Source organism: Homo sapiens, chromosome 17 (genome assembly GCF_000001405.40).
Source record: "Homo sapiens chromosome 17, GRCh38.p14 Primary Assembly".
Taxonomy (NCBI): domain Eukaryota; kingdom Metazoa; phylum Chordata; class Mammalia; order Primates; family Hominidae; genus Homo; species Homo sapiens.
In genome coordinates, this window is record NC_000017.11 from 49,200,138 (window position 1) to 49,223,241 (window position 23,104).

General features: G+C 52.1%; 2 protein-coding genes across 9 annotated transcripts, besides 8 other annotated features; one reads left to right on the forward strand and one right to left on the reverse strand.

Moving 5' to 3' along the window:
* On the reverse strand, positions 6,097-10,437 carry GNGT2 (G protein subunit gamma transducin 2). Of its 4 annotated transcripts, none has more exons than NM_001198756.1 (4): positions 9,216-9,263; positions 8,708-8,817; positions 7,202-7,307; positions 6,097-6,745 (listed from the first exon to the last, which is right to left on the reverse strand). In NM_001198756.1, the coding sequence occupies exons 3-4, from the start codon at positions 7,283-7,285 to the stop codon at positions 6,620-6,622; spliced, it is 210 nt and encodes a 69-aa protein (NP_001185685.1). In that variant the 5' UTR covers positions 7,286-7,307; positions 8,708-8,817; positions 9,216-9,263; the 3' UTR covers positions 6,097-6,619. The 4 variants fall into 4 exon arrangements, with proteins under 4 accessions (NP_001185685.1, NP_001185684.1, NP_113686.1 ...); NM_001198755.1 differs by having other exon boundaries at positions 9,106-9,263; NM_031498.2 differs by having other exon boundaries at positions 9,070-9,244.
* Positions 9,702-9,791: an enhancer, noted in NCBI's record as "active region_12352". NCBI's record gives its function as "activates an Ori minimal core promoter by ATAC-STARR-seq in GM12878 lymphoblastoid cells {active_cell/tissue: GM12878}" and the evidence as "EXISTENCE:reporter gene assay evidence [ECO:0000049][PMID:35858748]".
* Positions 9,802-9,911: an enhancer, noted in NCBI's record as "active region_12353". NCBI's record gives its function as "activates an Ori minimal core promoter by ATAC-STARR-seq in GM12878 lymphoblastoid cells {active_cell/tissue: GM12878}" and the evidence as "EXISTENCE:reporter gene assay evidence [ECO:0000049][PMID:35858748]".
* Positions 9,802-10,489: a biological region, named in NCBI's record as "H3K27ac-H3K4me1 hESC enhancer GRCh37_chr17:47287312-47287988".
* Positions 9,813-10,489: an enhancer, noted in NCBI's record as "H3K27ac-H3K4me1 hESC enhancer chr17:47287312-47287988 (GRCh37/hg19 assembly coordinates)". NCBI's record gives its function as "activates a minimal SCP1, AML or CMV promoter by ChIP-STARR-seq in naive H9 embryonic stem cells {active_cell/tissue: H9 hESC(naive)}" and the evidence as "EXISTENCE:reporter gene assay evidence [ECO:0000049][PMID:30033119]".
* ABI3 (ABI family member 3) lies at positions 10,570-23,088 on the forward strand. Of its 5 annotated transcripts, none has more exons than XM_005257429.3 (8): positions 10,570-10,704; positions 16,394-16,561; positions 17,602-17,778; positions 19,403-19,488; positions 19,721-19,816; positions 20,032-20,189; positions 21,933-22,088; positions 22,415-23,088. In XM_005257429.3, exons 1-8 carry the CDS (start codon positions 10,588-10,590, stop codon positions 22,576-22,578), a joined length of 1,122 nt encoding a protein of 373 aa, XP_005257486.1. In that variant the 5' UTR covers positions 10,570-10,587; the 3' UTR covers positions 22,579-23,088. The 5 variants fall into 5 exon arrangements, with proteins under 5 accessions (XP_005257486.1, NP_057512.2, XP_011523175.1 ...); NM_016428.3 differs by having other exon boundaries at positions 21,954-22,088; XM_011524873.2 differs by having other exon boundaries at positions 20,035-20,189.
* Positions 10,582-10,751: an enhancer, noted in NCBI's record as "active region_12354". NCBI's record gives its function as "activates an Ori minimal core promoter by ATAC-STARR-seq in GM12878 lymphoblastoid cells {active_cell/tissue: GM12878}" and the evidence as "EXISTENCE:reporter gene assay evidence [ECO:0000049][PMID:35858748]".
* Positions 13,696-13,765: an enhancer, noted in NCBI's record as "active region_12355". NCBI's record gives its function as "activates an Ori minimal core promoter by ATAC-STARR-seq in GM12878 lymphoblastoid cells {active_cell/tissue: GM12878}" and the evidence as "EXISTENCE:reporter gene assay evidence [ECO:0000049][PMID:35858748]".
* Positions 13,786-13,885: an enhancer, noted in NCBI's record as "active region_12356". NCBI's record gives its function as "activates an Ori minimal core promoter by ATAC-STARR-seq in GM12878 lymphoblastoid cells {active_cell/tissue: GM12878}" and the evidence as "EXISTENCE:reporter gene assay evidence [ECO:0000049][PMID:35858748]".
* Positions 13,906-14,065: an enhancer, noted in NCBI's record as "active region_12357". NCBI's record gives its function as "activates an Ori minimal core promoter by ATAC-STARR-seq in GM12878 lymphoblastoid cells {active_cell/tissue: GM12878}" and the evidence as "EXISTENCE:reporter gene assay evidence [ECO:0000049][PMID:35858748]".

Consider the following 23,104-nt stretch of genomic DNA (forward strand, 5'->3'; position numbering starts at 1 on the left):
AAAGGGGAGAACATTTATATGGCTTGTGTGTGCATAAAATATCTCTGCAAGGCTGCATGAGAAACTGGAACATTGATTTCTCCAGGAATGAAACCAGGGAGAGAAAAGGAGGAAGAGACTGTTCACTGTATACCCTTTTACACCTCTTGAATTTTGAACCCCCTAATTTTTCATTACTTCTTCATTCAGTCACAAAGTCTCTAGGAACTCAAGAAGCCAGAGAAAGCTTGAAGTAATGTTTAAACCTAGTTGTGACTTACTATCCAGATTAGCTAGATGAAGAAGCGGCAGCAGGCTAGGGGTGTTTCAAGCCCTGCATGAACTAGTCAAGGAATAAAAGAAGCTCCATATTGATGCGTGGAGCCTAGGGGGCCAGGGTAGGGGTTGGGGGTGAATAGGAGGCAGAGCTGAGGCCCCAGAGGTAATAAGGGCCCCTCATGCGGAAGGGCCTTGGTGGCTTTGGTGCCCAGGAGTCTAGATTTGGTCTCACAGGAAGTGGCCAGTGAAGAAGGGTATTAAGCAAGGGAGCTACAGAGAACCCACTAGCAGCCGAGAGCAGAGTGGGCTGCAGCCGGGCTAGGAAGGTGGGGAGTTCTGCAGGAGACTGTGGAATCATCAGGGTAAAAGGTGACCAAGCTTTAACTGAGGACTAGGCAGAGGGAGTAAAGCGATAAACAGATGAACATGTGAGAGCTTTAGAGGGTGGCTCCATCAGGAATTAGCTTGCTTAGGAATTAGCGTGATTAGATGGGCTGCTGCGGGGGAGCAGGGGAGCGGCAAGGCCGTGTGTGCATGGTTCTTCTTCCTTCTCTATCCTCTCCCGGCTTCCCTGGTCCCTGCTTCCTCAGCTCTGATACTACAGGCGATGAGTCCCCCACCTCTCCCATTTCTGTGGTCTGGTAGAGAATAAGAAAATCAGAGGGGCCAAGGGGACGTTGAGTAACTACTCCAAAGTCACCTCTCTGCCCCTCTCCTACCTCAGCTTCTGTGGGAAATGAGGGAGAAGGGAGAGGAGGGCAGGGAGCGAGATCCTTTTGGTGCTTAATTCAAACCCTGCCTGCAACTCTGCGCCTGCATGAATATCCTGCCTCCTCCATCAGACCAGGGCCTCTGTCTCCCTACACAGGATCAGCCATGGAATGCGTGGAGCGCAGTGTAAAATGAAAATGTGTAGGTCTTGTTCAAAAATTATTAAGAATTTCAAGATGAGGACAGCAGAGTGTTAAACCTAGCATGCACCCTTCTAAGCAGGGGACCCTGTGTGACAGCAGAGGTCGAAGGCCCATAAAGCTGGTTCTGTCCCCAGGCCTTAAGGTCAAGTAGGTAATTGGGTGGGGTTGGGAGGCAAGAGGCTGTGACTTACTTTTCCAGAGGTGCTGAGGTCATGGTGGGGTAATCCCTGTCCCCATCTCACTCCTTGCTGGCTTCATGGGTAAGATCCGGAAGGCCCAAGGGTGGGCGGGGCTGGGCTGTCTAACCTACTAGGAAGGATTTCTAGCTGCTACCAGCTCCAGGAGCTGAGGCCACATTAGCCAGTCAGCTGTTCCCCCTCCCTGCCTTCTAAGGCCGAGGAATCCCGTCCTGGAAGTCTCTGGTGCAGTGTGGAAGGAGAGTGATACAGAACTGGACACTTAGAATGATTCAGTTCCATGTTACTTGACCAGGAAATCAAGGCGTTCAAGAGCATTCCCTTCCGCTTACTCCCTTTTCCTGGCTTGGCATCCTTTTACTGCTCAGGACCATTAGAATCTCACTTATGTGGTTTCTACCGGCAGTCTCACACGTCTGACCCTCTGTGCTTGGTCTTCTTCACACTCCTCTTCCCCCACCCCAGCCTGAGTTTCTGGAGTTACTCCAAACTCTATTCTTGGCCCTCCTTTCAATCCACACAGTCCTCTTGGTCAATCTCACCCACTTTTGTTGTATCAGCTACTACCTCTCAGTGATCCTCAACAGGTGTGCAAAGGGAGGAGGAAAAGCCTGTGGAGTCACGTGGGATCACCTGGTGGGGAAGGCTTTCCAACTGGTGACACCGCCATTCACCTAGTCATCCATGGAGGAAACCAGAAGTCATCCTTGATAATTTCTTCTCCATCCTTCCAACATTCAATCAATCTCTAGGCCCTGAAAATTCTACTTCTTCACTACCTCTCCAGTTCATCTGCTCTCCATTCTTACCCTTCCTCCCCAATTCAGTTCCTAATCACGTTGGGTGGCTGGATCATAGTGATTCTCCTTTCTCTGGAAACTGACCTTCTGAGGGTGGCCCTGAAAGTCAGCAGAGAAAGGAATTTCTTCCTCTCTGATTCTTGGGAAGCAATTAAGGTTTGAGTCAGGTGATCAAGGTCTTGAAGCATAAGTGAATTGAAAACAAGGAGATCTGGGGAGAGCTTTGTGGCTGGACCTCTTTGGGTGAGCCTGGAAACTGAAAATACATGTCACAAACAGGTTTACCAGAAGGCTCCCTGCAAAAGAGGCTTTTCACAAGCCATAGACAGGATGACCAAGGGGCTGTCTAGAGCTCATGAAACAAAGCAAACAGAGAAGCAGGAATAGAGGCTATGCCTGGATGGAACAGCATGGACTTCTCTTCATCAAGGCCAGTGTAGGTCCACTACTGCCCAATGAGCTTGCAATGGTGAAACCCTGAGCCCCTCATACAGTACCAGACCTCAAGGCAACCATCCAGTTCTCTGGTGGCAGGTCAATGGAAGGGACACAGAATTGTCCTCACTGGAATAGGCACTTATTCAGGAATTGAGTTTGTATTCCCTGCCAACACCACCATCTATGGATTCATGTGATGTCTTCTAGGCAGCTACGGTGTCCTAGACCAGGTTAGCTCCAACCAAGAAGCTCTTCCCAGCAAAAGAAGTAAGGCGTTAAATGTGGGTCCTGGAACAGAAAAATGGCATTAGTGAAAAAGCTAGGAAAATCCAAATAAAGTCTGGAGTTCCGTTAACAGTGTTATACAAATGTTAATTTTTTAATTTTAAAAGTACCATGGTTATGAAGATGTTAACATTAGGGGAAGCCAGGTTAAGGGTATATGGGAACTCTCTGTACTAACTTTGCAATGCCTCTGTAAATCTAAAATTCTTCAAAATAAAACTACCAAAGAAACACAAAGAAATAAGGTTGGGGCTACTGTCCACAGGATTTGCTGATCTCACCATGTGTCTGTTATCTAGAAGCAAGTGGCTGAGTGATAGGCTGTCCTAGTAAAGACCCAGGGTGGTGCCAGGTAGGTGGACACCACTTTGCAAAGACTAAGTGATGTCAGGAAGGTTGCTGGCTGTGCTATGAATGGAACCAGAAACAACTTACAGTGTTTTCCCTTCATGGCTAAAAAACTCAAGGATCTATAGGCTAGAGGAGGGAAAGGATGGCTCAGATGGCATCAATGACCCACTCTTAGAATTATCATTCTTGTCCTCCTAATCAACAGTGTGAAGGTCTGGGCATGCAAGAAAGGAATGCTGCCCGCTGGGCACGGTGGCTCACACCTGTAATCCCAGCAATTTGGGAGGCCAAGGCAGTCGGATCACCTGAAGTCGGGAGTTCGAGACTAGCCTGACCAACATGCAGAAACCCCATCTTTACTAAAAATATAAAATTAGCTGGGCGTGATGGTGCATGCCTGTTATCCCAGCTACTTGGGAAGACTGAGGCAGGAGAATCACTTGAACCCAGGAGGCAGAGGTTGCAGTGAGCCAAGATCAGGCCATTGTACACCAGCCTGGGCAACAAGAGCAAAACTGTGTCTCAGAAAAAAAGAAGAAAGAAAGGAAGGAAAGAAGGAAGGAAGGAAGGAAGGAAGGAAGGAAGGAAGGAAGGAAGGAAAGAAGGAAAGAAAGGAGGGAAGGAAGCCACAGGGCACAATGTCATAATCCCTTTAGAAGCTGAGATTTCTACCGTGCCATTTGAGGCTCCCTGTGGCATTAGGAAGAGACAGAAAAGGGGGTCAGAATGTCAGGCTGATGACCGACCCTGAGACTCAGGGTGTCCTGTGATTGTTACCACACCCTGGTGTGGCCAGGAAAGGTACAGGAGGAACCAGAGAACACCTGGGGCACAATGCCCCGCGGAACGGTGGGCTGAAGAAGCTGCTACTCTAATCAGAGTCCCACCAAGGGTTGAAGAGCCTCAGGAACAGAGGTTAGAGTTGCCGCTCTGGATCCAGAACCCCAACCAGTGAGAGCCTGCCTGAAGACAGGAGAATAAGGACTGGGCAGGTGGAAGAAGGAAGCTGTAGCCACATGGCCGATGGCTGCATGACTGGCCTCCCATCTTTTTTCCCTTCCTTACTGCCAGAGCCCTATGGAATATTTACCTTTCCCCATTTTTTGAAGGAAGAATTACTGTCTTTAATGTTTTTCCTTTCTCATTCCTCATCTTTTCCTTCTCTTGAGCAGAGTATATGGAGGGTGGTTGAATTGACACCAGCTTGCAGAATGGTGAGATGGAGTCAGGATGGAATTGGGAAGTGGAGATCCTGGATTTTGACCACAGAGGCCCTGTGACCTCACCCTTGGCATTTGGGCTGTGACCAGCTGGGGAAGGGAGGCTGCAGCTGTAGTATGTAGGATGACTATTAGATTAGGTTTGTTTTCAGAGACTTGCTTTCATTTCTATCTAGTAAACCCTACAAGCCAGAAACTTGGATGCCATCCTTGACAACTCATTCTCCCTCACTCATAACTCAAAGAAGTGTCAAGATCTGAAAACTTTATTTCCCAAAGAACTCATCAGCTTACCTACCGCCCCCGAGACTTATGGCCACTGCCCTAATTCAGGCCTTCCTCACCTAACCCCTGATGGAAAAATCACCTCCTTAACTGCCACTCTGCCTTTACTCTTTCCCTGTTCAATCTTGTAAAAAGCAAATTTCCAGCCAGGCTTGGTAGCTCATGCCTATAATCCCAGCAATTTGGGAGACCGAGGCAGGAGGATTGCTTGAGGCCAGGAGTTCGAGATCAGCCTGTGCAATGTAGTGAGACCCTGTCTCTACAAAAAAATTTAAAAATTAGCTAAGCATGGTGGCACACACCTGTAGTTCCAGCTACTTGGGAGGCTGAGGTGGGAGGATTGCTTGAGCCCAGGAGGCAGAGGGTGCAGTGAGCCATGATTGCACCCCTGCACTCCAACCTGGGCGACAGAGCAAGACTTTGTCACCCTCTCCCCCAAAAAAGCAAATTTCCTTCTAACATTACCAAGTCATTCCCAGCAAATAAGTTTGTTTAGTTCAGCAAACAAGACCCCTCTAATCACCTCCAAGCCCTCTCTAGCAGCAGATCCTAAGGATCTAGAGCTTTTGACATTCCCACTCCAACCTGATTGGTGCTCCCATTCAAACCATGGTCCTTTCTCATATCATGCCTTTGTTTATACTGGCCCACCAGAAGTGCCATCCATCCACCCACTGACAACTTAACCCTTTAGAACTCAGCTCTGGATATCACCTCCTTCTAAAGGCCTTTCCTGTCTTCCTTCCCAGGACTCAACGCACCCCTTCAGCAAGATTAGGTAGCCCTCCTATGGGATTCCATCATAGCCCTCGCAGACCTCTCCGCTGTTGCACTGAGTGTATTGTATTGTGAGTGCTGGTTTGTCTGCGGCTCTTTCAGTCCTTTCCTTGCTGACAAGGCCCAGGAATTGGTCTGATCCATCACTACATTCCCAGTCCTTAGCAGGATCCAGCCTCCCTTCTGCTAACCAGAATCTGCTTAAATACCGTCCTAGGCTTCCTATTGCCCTTAGGATAAAGAAGAAAGTTCCTAACTGAGTTCACCGAAAGGTCCTTCAAGACTTGACCCCAATCTCCCTCTCTAGCCTCATGCTTTTCCAGCCCCCATTCTGCACCCCTCGACGGCATTTACATTGACATTGTTCATTGCCCTGAATGTCTCTCGGCTGTGTGTTCCTACACTGCCCTTGACTCTCCCCATTGTAGCATTTATGGACTTAATTGTAAATTGTTTCATGTCTTCTCCACTAAATTCCATGAAAATAGGAGCCATGTTCGTCTTGCACACTCTTCCATCCATAGTGCCCAGCACTAACAGACTACTTGACAATATTAAAGAAATCATGAAATCATAACTTCACAAACTCTTGTTGTCATCAGGCCATCTGGGGTGATCTAAATGACTAGGAACAGGACCATAGGGTAGGACATGATATGGAGGGACAGGACCACCCAACCCTGGCCCCCAGCCCAAACTACTCTGGCGTGGAAATGCTTTATTCCTAGGATGAGAGTAGAGGGAAAAGACGGAGGGGTTCCCAGGTGGTGTAAGTGCTTCCTAAGGACTGCCCTCTGGGGTCTTGGGGTATTGCAGGCTTCTCACACCCCACCACCCATGGGGCCAACCGCTCGGCCAGCCACACTGTCCTCAGAGTGTTCCCAGCAAGGTCAGCAGAGACCCAGCAGGTGGAGGAAATAATGGGAGAAAAGAGTTGAAGGTGGGAGTGGGGAATGGGTTCACAATGCATTTGTTCAGGGATCTTTACTCATTCTGTGATGAAGAGAAGGTGACAGTTCACTGGCTCCCTGGGGGTCTAGGAGACTTGGGCTTGGCTGAAGAGGGACAGACACTCAGGGCAGGGCTCCATGCCATCAGCTTATCAGACAGCCACCTTTCTCCTTGAAGGGATTCTTGTCCTCAGGGATGCCTTTGAGAAAAGGATCGTTTCCTGCTTGGGCCTCCACGTACTCCTTGATTTCCTTTCCCGCTTTGGAAATCTGCGAGAACACAAAAAATGTTTTAGGTCCTTGTTACTGTCTCTGGGTCCATGATTTGGTCAGTGCCAGAAAAACAGGCTTCTGGGCAGGGCAGAGACAGGGGCCAAAGAGGAGAAAGACACAGAGGACAGACAGGTGTTCGGGGGTGTGAGTTCCTTGATCTGACCCACAACACTGACCCTGACCTTCATGGGCTGCTTGGCCAGAGCCAGCCCAGACACAGGGCTGGACACGCTGAGCTCTCCAAGGCCCTGAAGCTCTCTCCTGTGCTCAGGGAGGCTGGCACCTTCACAGGGTCAACCCCAGCCTTTCTCTGCATCCTACCCCATCCCAGAGGTACCTCCTGCTGCTTCTGCAGCCCTGGAACAGTCCCACCACCCTTTCTGGTCACTTCCTCCTTCCCGGGGCTCATCAGGAACAGGAAGGGAAGAGCAGGGACGGGGCGAGGAGGCTCACCGGAATTCTTGTGTTTTTCACTTCTTTCTTCAGCTGCTCCACCTCCATCTTCAACAGGTCCTTCTCGCTGAGATCCTGGGCCATCCTGCCCTAGACAGACCTGATCCTGGAAAGGATTCAGCAGCCAGGATCATAAATCTCATCAGCTCTTCCAGCTCCCTCCACACCTCGACTTCTAGCATCTTCCCTGCCATATCCCTCAGTTCAGGCCCCTCATCATTCAACAGATATTCACTCCATCCTTGCATGCCCTGCTTCTTCAAGAGTCTGGGCTCAGGAGGGGAGGAAGCTCCCAGTCTGATGGGGGAGGCACCATTTTTGCCTTTGGATTGTCTGTCTATGGAGGAAATTTGGATTGTCTGTCTATAGAGGCATCTGTCTGTCTGTCTACAGAGGAAACAGAGAAGAAAGAAAAAGGAGTTTCTTTCAGAGAGGAAGATCTGGGAAGCAACGTTATTGTTTCATATAGTGACTCAGAGTTTTCCTCTTTCTCTCCAGGTCCAGCAAGGGAGAGTATACAATAATGGTCAAGAGAAGGGGGTCTTGGCTGGGCGCGGTGGCTCACCCCTATAATCCCAGCACTTTGGGAGGCCAAAGTGGGAGGATCGCTTGAGCCCAGGAGTTCAAGATCAGCCTGGCCAACATGGCGAAACCTCGTCTCTACAAAAGATAGAAAAATTAGCCGGGGTGATGGTGAGTGCCTATAATCCCAGCTACTCGGGAGGCTGAGATATGAGAATTGCTTGAACCTGGGAGGCGAAGGTTGCAGTGAGCTGAGATCATGCCACTGCACTCCAGCCTGGGTAACAGAGAACAACTGTTTCAAAAAATAAAAAAAGATCCCAGGCACTGTGGCTCATGCCTGTAATCCCAGCACTTTGGGAGGCTGAGACAGGCAGATCACCTGAGGTTGAGGGTTCGAGACTAGCCTCGCCAACATGGTGAAACCCCATCTCTACTAAAAATACAAAAATTAGGCAGGCGTGGTGGCGGGCACCTGTAATCCCAGCTACTCAGCGGGCTGAGGCAGGAGAATCACTTGAACCCAGAAGACGGAGGTTGCAGTGAGCCGAGATCACACCACTGCACTCCAGCTTAGGCGACAAGAGTGAGACTCCATCTCAAAAAAAAAAAAAAGAGAGAGAGAGAGACAAGGGGGTCTGGAGCTTACCAGACTCCAACTCTGATCTGCTGCTTCCTTACTGCTTTCTCAGTGTGGCCTTAGGGAAGTCACTCAACCTCTTTGAGTATTAGTTTCCCCAGCTGCAAATGGGTATTAAAAAAACCTACCACATGCAATTATTGTGGGTACTAAGAAAATAATGTCTATAAAATATTATAATATACTACCTGGCACATAATGAACACTTAATACACTTATTATTATCACTAATAATGCTATTGTTATTATTATCACTGCAGGGTTATCAGGAAGGCCTTCCTGGTGCCTAGCCCCAGTGATACTAAGAGTAGATCCCAGCCCAGTGCAACCTCAGCCCCTCTCACCTGCCACAGAAGAGCACACTCTCCAAGTCACTTGTCCTGGACTCAGGTAAGATAGTGTTTGAGCCTCCTAGTTCTTCATCAGCTGAAAATCTTCAGATAAAGCAGATGGCCTGGAAACCAAAATCTCTGATGCCTAAGCTGATCATAGGCTCAAAGTTCTAAGCCCATCACCCGCTTGAGCCTTCAAGCCCTCACTACAGCAGAGCAGAGAGACAGACATTCTCCCCACAAAAACAAACGCGAAAACAGAAGCCACCTTTTCACCACCTTGCCTTGCGTTAGCCTCACACTTTTGGTGACCTCACTAGCTTAGAGCCCGCAGCGCTTCTATTTCTCCACCTCCACCCTGCAGCCCCACTTACCCCGCTTCGCCTGCTTTCTCCTCCTTCCCTTCCCACCTCTGAGCATGCTCTGAGGCTGTCCTTCCTCCTGAGGCAAGTCCTAGACCGGCCCCTAACCTCCTTAACCAAGATGCTTTGTGTTGCCCATTGGATCCCCACAGTTTCACCTTACGAAGTTCTCCTAGCTCACTCTTCATCCACTCATTCAATAAAAATGTCCTTGCTCACCAAGCTGTGCCACTTAGTACTTGGGGCGTGGCCACCTCTAATGCCTCTGTTCAAGCTTCTTTGCTGCCATGCCTCCCTCTGAGCCCTGAATGTGGGTTCCTGAGCACAGAACCCACATCCTGGTTTTTTTCTTGCTGTCCCCCCAGGACCACCCAAGGGCTATGCCATTTAACAGACATTGAGCTCCTGCTCTGGTTGACACCCATCCAATGACAAGGGACCCGCTGGAGGAGCAAAAGTTAAGGGACCAATATGGTCAATGGGAGGTCCTCTTATTCTCCTGTCTCTAGGATGACAGGCTTGGTGGTGGGAGGGGCAGAGAGGAGGCCCGCCGTCCATCCTAACTTCCGTGCTCCAGGACCCAGTCCAACTCTCAGCTGGGAGCTCTAAGAATTTGAAATCAGAACAGGATCCTGGAGGTTGTCTGGTACAACTGTCCTGTTAATGCGTGAACCACAGCCCATACCTCCTAGGCAGGCTCAGTGCTCTGTCCACCGCTGCTTCCTAAAACCGCAAGTTGATCTGAAATTTGAACCTGGTGCTTCTCAAATCCAAGTCCTTCCTGTTGTCTAATCTGAGTCCCTCACATTACGCTTGGTCAATTTCATCTTGTCCTGCCTTCATCTGCACAGAGCGTGTAGGGCAGATCTTCATCACACACAACCCTTCGCAGGCTTGCTAACACCCCTCTGGCAACCTCTCTGGTCATGTCTTCCCGGTGTCCAACCCTGACCCCTCTTGCTGCCGCATCGGCTGTTTTCTATTTTTGCTGTGCTGCTGCCCCACAGTCCTCTGGTATGACGGATCTCCATATCCTATCCACCCTCCACTCCCCTGTCCCTTGGTGACTCATCCCTGAGCTTCCCAAGGAAGCCCCCACCCTCTGCCCTTTCCTCCCGCCTTCCATGAGTGGAAAATCCACCTCCGCCCCCTATAGCAGGCCAGCCCCCTTCCTCCCCAGTCTCCGACCCCATCCCCCAGCCGACCAGTTTCCTCTCCAGGACCAGGGAGCAATCACAGCTGCCCCGACCTTGGCTTCCTCTGCTGGGTGGGATTGGGGGCTGGGCCCCCAAATGGGCCCCTGGCTTCCCCCTTCCTCTGGGCAGGGGACAGAGAGACACAGGCTCGGGGAGCAGGACTGACTTCCTCTTGTCCCGGAATGAGCATGCCTGCCCTTTGCAAGCAGGTTTGGGTCTCACGCAGAGGAAACCAAAAGCAATAAGAGGGAGGGAAGGCAGAGCAACCAATCAAGGGCAGGGTGAGACTCAAAACGAGCGGGCTCCCTGGGGAGCCAGACAGAGGCTGGGGGTGATGGCGGAGCTACAGCAGCTGCAGGAGTTTGAGATCCCCACTGGCCGGGAGGCTCTGAGGGGCAACCACAGTGCCCTGCTGCGGGTCGCTGACTACTGCGAGGACAACTATGTGCAGGTAGGTAGAGCGGGCGGAAGCCTGACACCCCAGCCCCCGGAGGGGGGACCCTGAGCCCTGCCCCAAGTGGGGCCCTGGGACCCATCCTGACAGTGCTTGTCCTGGGCCTTGGCTGAGAAATCCTCCCATTCCAGGCTTCGGCTTCATCCCAGACCCCAATACTTAACCCTGACCCCATACTACCCAAGCCCCCACTGTGCCCCTTCTGTCTCTCAGAGCCTCAGAGATGCCTGGGACAGACAGTGCGATTCCATCCTGTTCTCAGGTGTCACCTCAGGTTCATCCTTCTGAGTTCCCACGGGTCAATCCAGAGACCCAAAGCCTCCGTCCTCACACAGATGCTGGCGATCATTCTATTTCCAGGCCGGCTCTGGGTGAGGCTTCAGAAGAACTTCCCAAACAGCACAGTGAACCTGAGATGGACAAGGGAAAGGGGCTCTTTCCCTGAGTTTGGGAAAGGGAGAGTGGGGATAAGGCAGAGTAGGCTGGGCTAAAGAGAGGGGATCTCATGCAGAGGCAGGGGGATGGCCCACATAACTGCTGGGAGCAGGCTTCTAGCAACAGATAGGGAGGTGGCATTGTAGAACAGGTTTTAAATTGTGTGGTTGTCCTGGGGCTGAGAACATAGATTCCTGGATTCAGGGAGGAGAGGCAAGGCAACTGAGCCATGATGGAAATCACTTCTGTTATTTCATTAATCTGTACAACTACCTTGTGAGACATGTATTATAATTCCTATTTTACAGATGTGGAAACAGTAGCTCAGGGAGGTGAGGTGACTTGTCTAAGGCCACACAGCTCCAAACAGCAGAGCCAGGCATTCCTTTTTTTTCGCTCTTGTTGTCCAGGCTGGAGTGCAATGGCTCGATCTTGGCTCACTACAACCTCCGCCTTCCGGGTTCAAGAAATTCTCCTGCCTCAGCCTCCTGAGTAGCTGGAATTACAGGCATGCACCACCATGCCCGACTAATTTTATATTTTTAGTAGAGACAGGGTTTCGCCATGTTGGTAAGGCTGGTCTCGAACTCCTGACACCTCAGGTGATCCACCCGCCTTGGCCTCCCAAAGTTCTGGGATTACAGGAGTGAGCCACTGTGCCCAGCCAGCCTTTTTTTTTTTTTGACGGGGTCTCCTCTGTCACCCAGGCTGGAGTGCTGTGGCATGATCATAGCTCACGTAGCTTCACTGAAGCCTTGAACTCCTAGGTTCAAGCAATCCTCCCACCTCAGCCTTCTGAGTAGCTGGGGCTACAGGTGCATGCCACCATGCCTGGCTAATTTTTTAAATTTTTTTGTAAAGACAGGGTCTCCATATGTAGCCCAGGCTGGTCTTGAACTCCTGGCCTCAAGTGATCTGCCCACCTTGGCCTCCCAAAGTGCTGGGATTACAGGCATAAGCCACCACATTTGGGCTTCCCTGAATCCTGATGCCAAGCTCTTTCCTCTCCATCTTTCTGCCTCCCTACACGCTATGTGACTTTACGACAGTTTATTAGCACTCTCTGTCCCCGGTTTCCTCTGCTCCCTGAAGAGCTGCAGACTAACCTTGTTACCCCTTGGGCAAAACTTTATTTTTCTAACCTGTACTAACCAAACTATGAGAACAGGCACAGGGACCTTGTAGCATAGTAAGAATGTTGAAAAAAGAAGTAAATGAGTAACAAGTGCTCATGGGAAATGGCAGATTAAAGACAGTCAGTAATGACAGCAGTTAAAATGCTCTGGACCCTTCTTTTGGGCCAGGCATGTTACCAGCATGGCCTCCCTTCATCCTCATCTGAAGTCCGGTGAGGCGAGTCCCATGCCCACTTCACAGTGAGGAAGCTGAGGTTTGGAAAGGTTAAGTCACTTTCCCAGAAGTCTCCTAGCTAGTGTCAGAGCCTGAATTCAAACGCAGAAATCTGATTCCAGAGCCCACTCCCTATGCCACTAACTGAAAATGCTACTCTGGGTATCATTTCGGTCTGTGTAGATGTTGAGTGACCACCTGCAGATGAGACAGAATGAGGCTTGCAAACCAGCTCATTCTCCTAGCATGGAAAGGCATGTTTCCTCTATGGACAAGGATCCAAGCAGTCCTTTCCATTCCTTCCATAACTTCTGCACACCTCAAAGAGCTTCCACAGGGCTCTCATTTGCACACACAGTGTGCACACACAATTTGGGGTCGCAAAGACCTAAGTCAAATTTCCAGTTCTGCCACCTACCAACTACAGGAACTGTGGCAAGTTTCTCCTCTGATTCTCATGCCTGCCTTCAGTGGTGGCTCCATGGATTCAATATAAAAATGTATCAAAGCATTCAGCCTAGTGCCAGCCCCTTCAGAAGAGCAGGATAAATGGCAGCTCTTACAATGACCATCACTACCATTCATTGGAAGGATGGATAATAAGAATCAGTTCTAGGGAGGAGAAGCTGTCCTTGCAAAAATATGCAGGGCATGAGAAGCCCTGACCCAAGTTGGAATCCTTGGACTCCTGCTTCCTTCGTGCAGAGTACTAACTACTAGAACACACAACTTGTTACCTTTCCTGGCCTTTCTGAGGATCTTTATCTAGGCAAATGCCTAGGAAGGTTCTGGATCTCAGAACTTCTGTTACCTAAGGCCTGATTCCCCTACCCTCCAACCCCACCTGCAGCCCCTCTCTCCCCACACCACCCAGATGCTAGGAAACCCATGGGGAATTAGGGAAGGCAGACCAGGGTCACCTGCAGAGTTCTCAGCCAGGGTTGACTGAGTTTACAGACACGGTAATTTGCATGATGAACAAGCACTCAGCCGCAGAGATGGATCTCAGACACCTGTCCCTGCGGACCTAACTTTGGGCTAAGAGCAAAGCCAGGGGTCGGTAGGTGTTCAGGCTGCAGATGCCCAGAGCTGGGCCCAAGCAGACACTTTTCCTGTTTGGGCCAACAATTCCACATGTTCGTTTGGGGAGGAAACTGTACAGAAGAAGGCAGGCAAGCTAAGAAATCTGGGTGGAGATGAAGGAGCAGTCACTGCTCAGTTCTGGGCCTGTTTCCTCATTTAGTAAAGGAAGGTCCTGAACTAAATCAAAATCTGCTCTCCTGTCTGGTGTTAATATCCTGGGTTGATTTCTTTGCCTATTCAATCTTCTTGGTGACCTATGCTGAGGAGATGTAAGTTTTGGTGCATATGCTAATGAGATGTAAATGACATGCAAATGAGCATCTCTTTCCTGCTGTTGGAAAAGAAAGACAAGGAGGAGAGAGCCATCGCATGGGCTGCCCAGAAGGTTCTGGCTCAGGCTCCATTAGAGGCTCCCAGGTGTCTCAGACCTTGCTCTGAGAGTTTGTAGGTCTGTTCTCCATTGACAGGCCCTGAGGGGCACCCGAGGGCTCAAGCAAGGGGACCCCAGTGTGCAGCCTTGCCTGTTGGCCCACTGGCCCTACTCCACATTCACCCTGGACTTGCCCCCTACCTGCCTTAGAAAGGTACAGGCTAGAGTATGGCAACTCCATGACCCGACCAGAGATGAGGAAGCTGCCCGGGGAACCAAAAGACCGGAGAAGTTTTGCCCTAGCCCCCACTGCCTGATCTGGGACCAACAAAAAAAAATTTCTTGGCCAGGCGCAGTGGCTCACGCCTGTAATCCCAGCACTTTGGGAGGCCAAGGCAGGCAGATCACCTGAGGTCAGGAGTTGAAGATCAGCCTGACCAGCATGGAGAAACCGCATCTCTACTAAAAATACAAAAAATTAGCTGGGCGTGGCGGTGCATGCCTGTAATCCCAGCTACTCGGAAGGCTGAGGCAGGAGAATCGCTTGAACCCAGGAGGCGGAGGTTGGGGTGAGCTGAGATTGTGCCATTGCACTCCAGCCTGGGCAACAAGAGCAAAACTCTGTCTCGAAAAACAAACAAAAAAAACTTCTTGCCTTCAGCCACTGCCTGCTTACTCCTCCTGCACTGACTGGCAGTGTGACCCTGGCCAGTGCCTGGCACAGTGCCTAGAATACAGTGGGAATGTGCCCAGAGAATGTTTGGGTTCCCATTCGACCTGCTAATTAACTCACGAGTGCATATTTATGAAGAATCTTTTGCGTGTTGGGTGTGATTCCATGACGGGATACAGGATGAAACAGACAAGCTCCCTGCTCTCATGACACTTCCGTTTAAGGCAAGGGGGCGTAGATAACGAAAAAAATACATAGAGAATGTTTGATACTGCTAAATACCATGAAGAAAAGAGAACAAGGTAAATATGATAAAGAGGCAGTGAAGGCGTGGGCTGGGGGAAATCTTAGTGTGGTGAAGGAAGGTGTCTCTGAGAAGCTGAGGCCTGCTAATAAGGATTCTGAAAATAAGTACAGCACATGCCAAGGCCCCGAGGCAGAAACAGTTCAGCTTGTTCAGGAACAGAAGCCCAATGGCCAATGTGGCTGAAGGGGAGTGTGTGAGAGGGGGAGTGGTGAAGTTGGATTAAAGGGGATGAAGGTGAAGAGAAAGGCAGGAGCCAGACCTGGAGGGGCTGTACGTAGGCCACGGTTAGAAGCTTGAATTTTATCCTCAGGGTATTGGAAAGCTATTAGAGGGAATGAATGAATAAAGTCCCTCTGTTCTGGGCCTCAGTTTCCTTATTTGAGTTCCCAGACACCAATCTGCAGACTGGAGCTAAACAGTCACATGGAAAGCTTTTTTTTTTGGTTTGATTTTGAGACAGGGTCTCACTCTGTCACGCAGGCTGGAGTGCAGTGATGTGATTTTGGCTCACTGCAACCTCCGCCTCCCGGGTTCAAGTGATTCTCATGCCTCAGCCTCCTGAGTAGCTGGGATTACAGGCAGGCACCACCATGCCTGGCTAATTTTTGTATTTTTAGTAGAGACGAGGTTTTGCCATTGTAGCCAGGCTGGTCTCAAACTCCCGACCTCAAGTGATTTGCCCGCCTGGGCCTCCCAAAGTAGTGGGATTACAGGTGTAAGCCACCGTGCCTGACATGGTTTGTTGTGTTTAAAAATGTCGGCTGGGCACGGTGGCTCACGCCTGTAATCCCAGCAGTTTGGGAGGCTGAGGCAGGCAAATCACCTGAGGTCGGGAGTTTGAGACCAGCCTGACTAACATGGAGAAACCCTGTCTCTACTAAAAAAAAAAAATTACAAAATAAGCTGGGCGTGGTGGCACATGCTTGTAATCCCAACTACTTGGGAGGCTGAGGCAGGAGAATCGCTTGAACTCGGAAGGCGGAGGTTGTGGTGAGCCGAGATCGCACCACTGCACTCCAGCCTGGGCAACAAGAGTGAAACTCCATCTCAGAAAAAAAAAAAAAAAAAGAATGTCTGCTCTAGCCAGTGTTGCCTTCCTCTTTCCTTTCTACTATTCACCCCCACTCCAACCCCTAAAAGGACAGCCTGTTACTGAAGTCTTCAGGAGGGTTGTACTATCATCTGTACTCAGTCCTCAGCTTAACTATTTGAGAATGGGTATCTTTCCCTCCCTTTGCATCCATTCCCCAAGGCTGCAGATTCACTTTTTTAAAGTGAATTTAAAGTGATGTTGTAGCAAGTTCCTCTTGCTACATCATTCTGCTGGGAGCCACCTCAAACATCTAAGGGTTGCTGCTCTCTCCCAATCCAGCCCCTACTTTCCCTATATCCTCTCCCATCCCACCCCAGCCAGCCAAGGACCCAGTGGAAGATGCTGGCCCTTAGGCCAGGGCTGTGTGTATTTCAGGCCACAGACAAGCGGAAGGCGCTGGAGGAGACCATGGCCTTCACTACCCAGGCACTGGCCAGCGTGGCCTACCAGGTGGGCAACCTGGCCGGGCACACTCTGCGCATGTTGGACCTGCAGGGGGCCGCCCTGCGGCAGGTGGAAGCCCGTGTAAGCACGCTGGGCCAGGTAAGGGGCGTGGGGCGTGGGAAGGCATCTTGTGTCAGGCCTCAACTCTTCAGCCCGACTCAGACATTTTCTACATCAAAAGTTCCTTCCTGCTTTCCTCCATGTCCAAATGCCCAACTCTACAGCAGAAGGTTGGCACTTCCCAAGCTTTTTGGACCTCCTTATCTCTGTGGCTACGCTACAAATTCCCCGAAGGCAGAGCTTTTTCTTTCTCGGAATTATATCCTGGACATGAGAAAGTGTTATCTACCAATCACAGCAGCGCCCTATACAGGAAAGAAGCAAATGAACCCTGTTTGCATCTAAATACAAGCAGTGCCCTCATAAATATCCCAGACCCAGGGTGCTAGCTTGACAAGGTCATCTTCAGCCCTGGAAGCACAGCCACCACTATACAGTATACACCCTCCACCCCGCCACAGTGTTCTAGCGCACACACCCTCCTCCTTCCTTCCTGGATCCTTGACCGAGGAATTGCCCCATAAAGCACATGCACAGACCCAGCCACACATTTGGCCTGGCCTGTACATCACCCACATGTTCAGTGGGTGGGGTGTGTCTTTTCCTCCCCCGCCGCAGACCAGAGTTCCCACCCTTTCGAACTGTAGGCTTTCTCCATGGAACATTCTGAGAGGAAGTCAATTTACTTATTTGTCCCCCAAAGGGGAGAGCTGATCCAGCCACCATTCTCTGCCACCTCCATATTCTCCCCCTCTGCTCCGAAGTCAGCCGGGTGCTTGTCTCCTCCCAGCATCCCTAGGGATGTTGTGTTTTCTCTTTTCCTCCTGTTCCTGCACAGCTAATAATAACCCATACTCTCTTTCCACCAGGAAGTTGCTCCAAAGTGGCTCCATCCTTTCCTGCTACTTTTCCCAATTGCTATGTAGCCTGGTGGGGGGCGGGGGGCGGGGGGCAGGGCCCTCTTTTTCTAGACCTGGCTGCCTCCCCCCCCCAGCCCAGTCTTTATCTTCTTCCTCCTTAGGGGGAAGGGTGCTGGACACAGACCACCCCTCTCTGTCACCTTGAACCCTGTCATGCAGATGGTGAACATGCATATGGAGAAGGTGGCCCGAAGGGAGATCGGCACCTTAGCCACTGTCCAGCGGCTGCCCCCCGGCCAGAAGGTCATCGCCCCAGAGAACCTACCCCCTCTCACGCCCTACTGCAGGAGACCCCTCAACTTTGGCTGCCTGGACGACATTGGCCATGGGATCAAGGTAGAGAGAGGGGCCCTCCTCTTTCCCTCCAACCCACCCTCTCGTGCCTTGTGGCCCCTTTCCCTCCAGAACCCCAGTTCTGCAAGTTTTGTCCCCACTTGCCACTCCTTTCTTTCCCCGCTCCCTGAAACCACCACTCTGAGCTCTTCTCCCTCTCCCTAGATTTTGTAATCCCTCCCTCCAAAACTGGTCTGTACCATCCTCGGAGGATCTGCTGAGTGTGAGATCCTGAGCACCCCTCGCCCCCCCGCCCTGCCCCTGTGGGCACCGGGCGTGTGGGAAGGGGAAGAGGGGGAAGGGAGGATGTCAGGGTGTGCATGAGAATGGCTCCCAGCCACATGAGAACAGCAACTTCCTCTGTCTGGGGGTTTGAGGTCACTGCACTGAGCAGTCACCCCAGAGCTGCTGTTGGTGAGAAGAAGCGGGGATACAGCCACACAAAGGGGACTTGGTGAAGGGAGGGGAGCATGGCGCTGGCGTCTTCTCAGCCTATGTCCTTCTGCGAGGTCAGAAAGGGCACGCACTCACACCCGTCCCACCTTCAATTCCTGTCTCCACACCTTAACATTTCTGTATCAAAATGAGCCCCTTGATATCCTTAACTTATCAGCCCCCCTTAAAGGGGAAACGACATTCTCCCCTTCAACCACCAGGCCTCCTTCCCACCAGTAGTTCTCTGTTGTCCAACTTATATTTTTTTTTTTTGAGATGGAGTTTCGCTCTTGTTGTCCAGGTTGGAGTGCAATGGCACGATCTTGGCTCACTGCAACTTCCGCCTCCCAGGTTCAAGTGATTCTCCTGCCTCAGCCTCCCAAGTAGCTGGGATTACAGGCGCCCGCCACCATGCCCGGCTAATTTTTTTTTTTTTTTTTTGTATTTTTAGTAGAGATAGGGTTTCTCCATGGTGGCCAGGCTGGTCTTGAACTCCTGAACTCAGGTGATCCTCTTGCCTGAGCCACCCAAAGTTCTGGGATTACAGGTGTGAGCCACCACTCGCGGCCCAACTTATATTCTTTGTGCTTCAGCTCAAATCTCTTTTGTCTTGCCCCTGGTGAAGCCCATGGGGTAACACTGTACCCACCCCTTGGGGAAGTCCCATTGGTAACAGCAGTTCCCTCTTTCATGTAGGCGTGCACCCTGTCATTTGCGCATCCCCTCTAAGTGGCCTGGGTCTTGCTCCTCTCTGCCCTAACTCCCCAAAGCCAGTTCCACAAATCTTCGAAAATGAAAGGTGGGACACTTCTAAGTGTGATGTGTCCTCTCCTTTCTCCGCCCCCTCCTCAGCCCGATCAAAGTTAGGGACCACCAAGCCAGGGCCCCAGCTTCCTGGGCTCTGAGATGGTCTGGGGGAGGGACAGGGGTGCTGGGCCCACTCAACCCGCTGTGGCTGTGCAGAGGAAGTGGCTGTGGGCTTTGGTAGAACTGAGTCCCAGAACCCAGGCAATGACAAGGGGGTGGGGTGGGGGAAGTGTAGGAGAGGGGCCTGAGAAGTGGAAGTGGGAACTGGCTATGCCGGGCTCTCCCTCCCGGTTCCCGTCCGCCCCTCCTCCATTTCCTCTTGGGGATGAGGGTGGAGGGAGGCCCCTCACCCCAAATGTAAGCCCTACCTCCCGCTCCCTCGCAGGACCTCAGCACGCAGCTGTCAAGAACAGGCACCCTGTCTCGAAAGAGCATCAAGGCCCCTGCCACACCCGCCTCCGCCACCTTGGGGTGAGGCCTCGCCGCGACGCCAACTAGCCTAGCCCTGCCCCGCGCGACCCTGAAACTCTCCTCCCCCAGCCTCGCCACCCACCCCTGGCGCCCCCGGGTGCTCAGGCCGTCATGCTGGATGCCTGGCGCCAAACCTCCCCCTCGGCCACCTGCCCTTCCTGCTCGCACCCGACCCCTGCTGGCCAGAAGCCTTCCTCCTTCCTCCTAATACCCACTCCCTGCCCCCCGCCAGGAGACCACCCCGGATTCCCGAGCCAGTGCACCTGCCGGTGGTGCCCGACGGCAGACTCTCCGCCGCCTCCTCTGCGTTTTCCCTGGCCTCGGCCGGGTGAGACCTACAAGCCCACGTGGGTGGGTGGGGGGTGGGAAGTGGCTTTTGAGAGGGGCCACCTGCCAGTGGTCATAGTGACTCCTGGGCTTGAAAGGACCCAGTTACTCCTGGGTCACACGTGCAGGGCTGGGGTCAGGATTGGAGGGGTGGGGCCAGTTGGGGATGCTGCATTAGGGAAGGCGTGTCCGCCAACCGGGCTCTCTGGTGTTCAGCAGCGCCGAAGGTGTCGGTGGGGCCCCCACGCCCAAGGGGCAGGCAGCACCTCCAGCCCCACCTCTCCCCAGCTCCTTGGACCCACCTCCTCCACCAGCAGCCGTCGAGGTGTTCCAGCGGCCTCCCACGCTGGAGGAGTTGTCCCCACCCCCACCGGGTAAGGAGGTCCACCCTCTTCTTCCCAACCGTGGGGTCGCTTTTCTGCCTCCTGCCACTCCCCAGCCCACCTCTCTTGGATCTGCCCCGGCCAGCCTCAGTGAATGCCTCCTCCAAGGAGCGCAGCACAGGGGCGAAAGGAGACAGAGGAAGTGAACTAACATAACTTAGCGCCTGCTGTATACCAGACCCTGTGTTCGAAGATTCTCATCCATTTTCTCATTTGAACTTAATCCTGGCCGGGCGCGGTGGCTCACCCCTGTAATCCCAGCAGTTTGGGTGGCCGAGGCGCGCGGATCACCTGAGGTCGGGAGTTCGAGACCAGCCTGACCAAAATGGAGAAATCCGGTCTCTACTAAAAATACAAAATTGACCGGGCGTGGTGGCGCAAGCCTGTAATACCAGCTACTCGGGAGGCTGAGGCAGGAGAATCGCTTGAACCTGGGAGGCGGAGTTTGCAGTGAGCCGAGATCGCGCCATTGCACTCCAGCCTGGGCAACAAGAGCGAAACTCCATCTCAAAATAATAATAATAATAATAATAATAATAATAATAATAATAATAATAAACTTAATCCTAAGGGCCAGGCGGGGTGGCTCACGGCCGTAATCCCGGCACTTTGGGGGGCTGTGGAGGGCGGATCACTTGAGGTCAGGAGTTTGAGACCAACCTGGCCAACATGACTAAAAATACAAAAATTAGCCTGGCGTGGTGGTGCGTGCCTGTAATTCCAGCTACTCAGGAGGCTGAGGCAGGAGGATCACTTGAACCCAGGAGGCAGAGGCTGCAGTGAGCCGAGATCACCACACTGCACTCCAGCCTGGGTGACAGAGGGAGATTCCCTCTCAAAAAAATAAAATAAAGGCCGGGTGTGGTGGCTCACGCCTGTAATCCCAGCACTTTGGGAGGCTGAGGTGGGCGGATCACGAGGTCAGGAGATCGAGACCATCCTGGCTAACATGGTGAAACCCTGTCTCTACTAAAAATACAAAAAAATTAGCCGGGCGTGGTGGCGGGCGCCTGTAGTCCCAGCTACTCGGGAGGCTGAGGCAGGAGAATGGCGTGAACCCGGGAGGTGGGGCTTGCAGTGAGCCGAGATCGTGCCACTGCAATCCAGCCTGGGCGACACAGCGAGACTCGGTCTCAAAAAAAAATAAAACAAAATAAACTTAATCCTGAGAGGGTCTTTACCACTCTCCGTTAACAGATGAAGCCACTGACGCTGAGGTTCAGTGACTTGCCCAAGAGCCACCCAGCTAATAAGAGGCAGAGTCTGACCGTCCTCTACTGCTGGATCTTTCAGGGTTTACTGAGCACTTAACTATGTGCTAGCAGCACTGTGGGAAGACCAGGACAGGAGAGGGCTGGAGGAAGATTGCATGAAATGGGTGCATTCTTTTTTTCTTTTGAGATGGAGTCTCACTCTGTCATCCAGGCTGGATGGAGTGTGTTGGCAAGATCTCAGCTCACTGCAACCTCCACCTCCTGGGTTAAGCCATTCTCCTGCCTCAGTCTCCCGAGTAGCTGGAATTACAGGCGTGTGCCACCATGCCCGGCTAATTTTTGTATTTTTAGTAGAGACAGGGTTTCACCATGTTGGCCAGGCTGGTCTCGAACTCCTGGCCTCAGGTGATCTGCCCGCCTTGGCCTCCCAACGTGCCTCGCTGAGATGGGTGGATTCTGGGGTCCAGCTCTTGAGCAGTTCCCTGACACACTGAAGGAGCTTCCTGTGCCACACTTACAGCCTTTCTGCTTTTCCCCCAAGACGAAGAGCTGCCCCTGCCACTGGACCTGCCTCCTCCTCCACCCCTGGATGGAGATGAATTGGGGCTGCCTCCACCCCCACCAGGATTTGGGCCTGATGAGCCCAGCTGGGTGCCTGCCTCATACTTGGAGAAAGGTACCTGACTTCTGGGACTGAGGGGCACCGGATCCCACTTCCTCTGTTGCCCTGATCCCCATTCTCCTCCCTCTGCAAAGGTGTGAATCTATCCCCCGGGCCCCCCACACAATTTTTCTGACGAACTGACAGAACTGGGGAGAGGGCAGCTGGCCTGGTATTAAATATTAACTAAGCTGGGGAGGGGTCCTGAAGGCTTGCAAGAAGGCCCCCAAGATGGCCCCTAGAGTCTAGTACTTGAGACCGTGCATCCCCATGGTGGTGGGGGGTGAGGGGGAGAGGGCAAGAGGCATTATCTCACGGCACCCTCTTCTCTTGCCCTGCAGTGGTGACACTGTACCCATACACCAGCCAGAAGGACAATGAGCTCTCCTTCTCTGAGGGCACTGTCATCTGTGTCACTCGCCGCTACTCCGATGGCTGGTGCGAGGGCGTCAGCTCAGAGGGGACTGGATTCTTCCCTGGGAACTATGTGGAGCCCAGCTGCTGACAGCCCAGGGCTCTCTGGGCAGCTGATGTCTGCACTGAGTGGGTTTCATGAGCCCCAAGCCAAAACCAGCTCCAGTCACAGCTGGACTGGGTCTGCCCACCTCTTGGGCTGTGAGCTGTGTTCTGTCCTTCCTCCCATCGGAGGGAGAAGGGGTCCTGGGGAGAGAGAATTTATCCAGAGGCCTGCTGCAGATGGGGAAGAGCTGGAAACCAAGAAGTTTGTCAACAGAGGACCCCTACTCCATGCAGGACAGGGTCTCCTGCTGCAAGTCCCAACTTTGAATAAAACAGATGATGTCCTGTGACTGCCCCACAGAGATAAGGGGCCAGGAGGGATTGAAAGGCATCCCAGTTCTAAGGCTGCTGCTAATTACAGCCCCCAACCTCCAACCCACCAGCTGACCTAGAAGCAGCATCTTCCCATTTCCTCAGTACCCACAAAGTGCAGCCCACATTGGACCCCAGACACCCCTCTGCAGCCATTGACTGCAACTTGTTCTTTTGCCCATTGCTTGCTGTGTGTGTGG

What these genes read in the sequence shown, in the direction of transcription:
- GNGT2 (NM_001198756.1), bottom strand. Translation starts at nt 7,285, where the DNA reads ATGGCCCAGGATCTCAGCGAGAAGGACCTGTTGAAGATGGAGGTGGAG. An exon ending in TGAAAAACACAAGAATTCCG is followed by an intron (nt 6,746 to 7,201) that starts GTGAGCCTCCTC and finishes GTGTTCTCGCAG; the next exon opens with ATTTCCAAAGCGGGAAAGGA.
- ABI3 (XM_005257429.3), top strand. Translation starts at nt 10,588, where the DNA reads ATGGCGGAGCTACAGCAGCTGCAGGAGTTTGAGATCCCCACTGGCCGG. An exon ending in CCCGCCTCCGCCACCTTGGG is followed by an intron (nt 19,489 to 19,720) that starts GTGAGGCCTCGC and finishes GCCCCCCGCCAG; the next exon opens with GAGACCACCCCGGATTCCCG. An exon ending in GTTGTCCCCACCCCCACCGG is followed by an intron (nt 20,190 to 21,932) that starts GTAAGGAGGTCC and finishes CCACACTTACAG; the next exon opens with CCTTTCTGCTTTTCCCCCAA.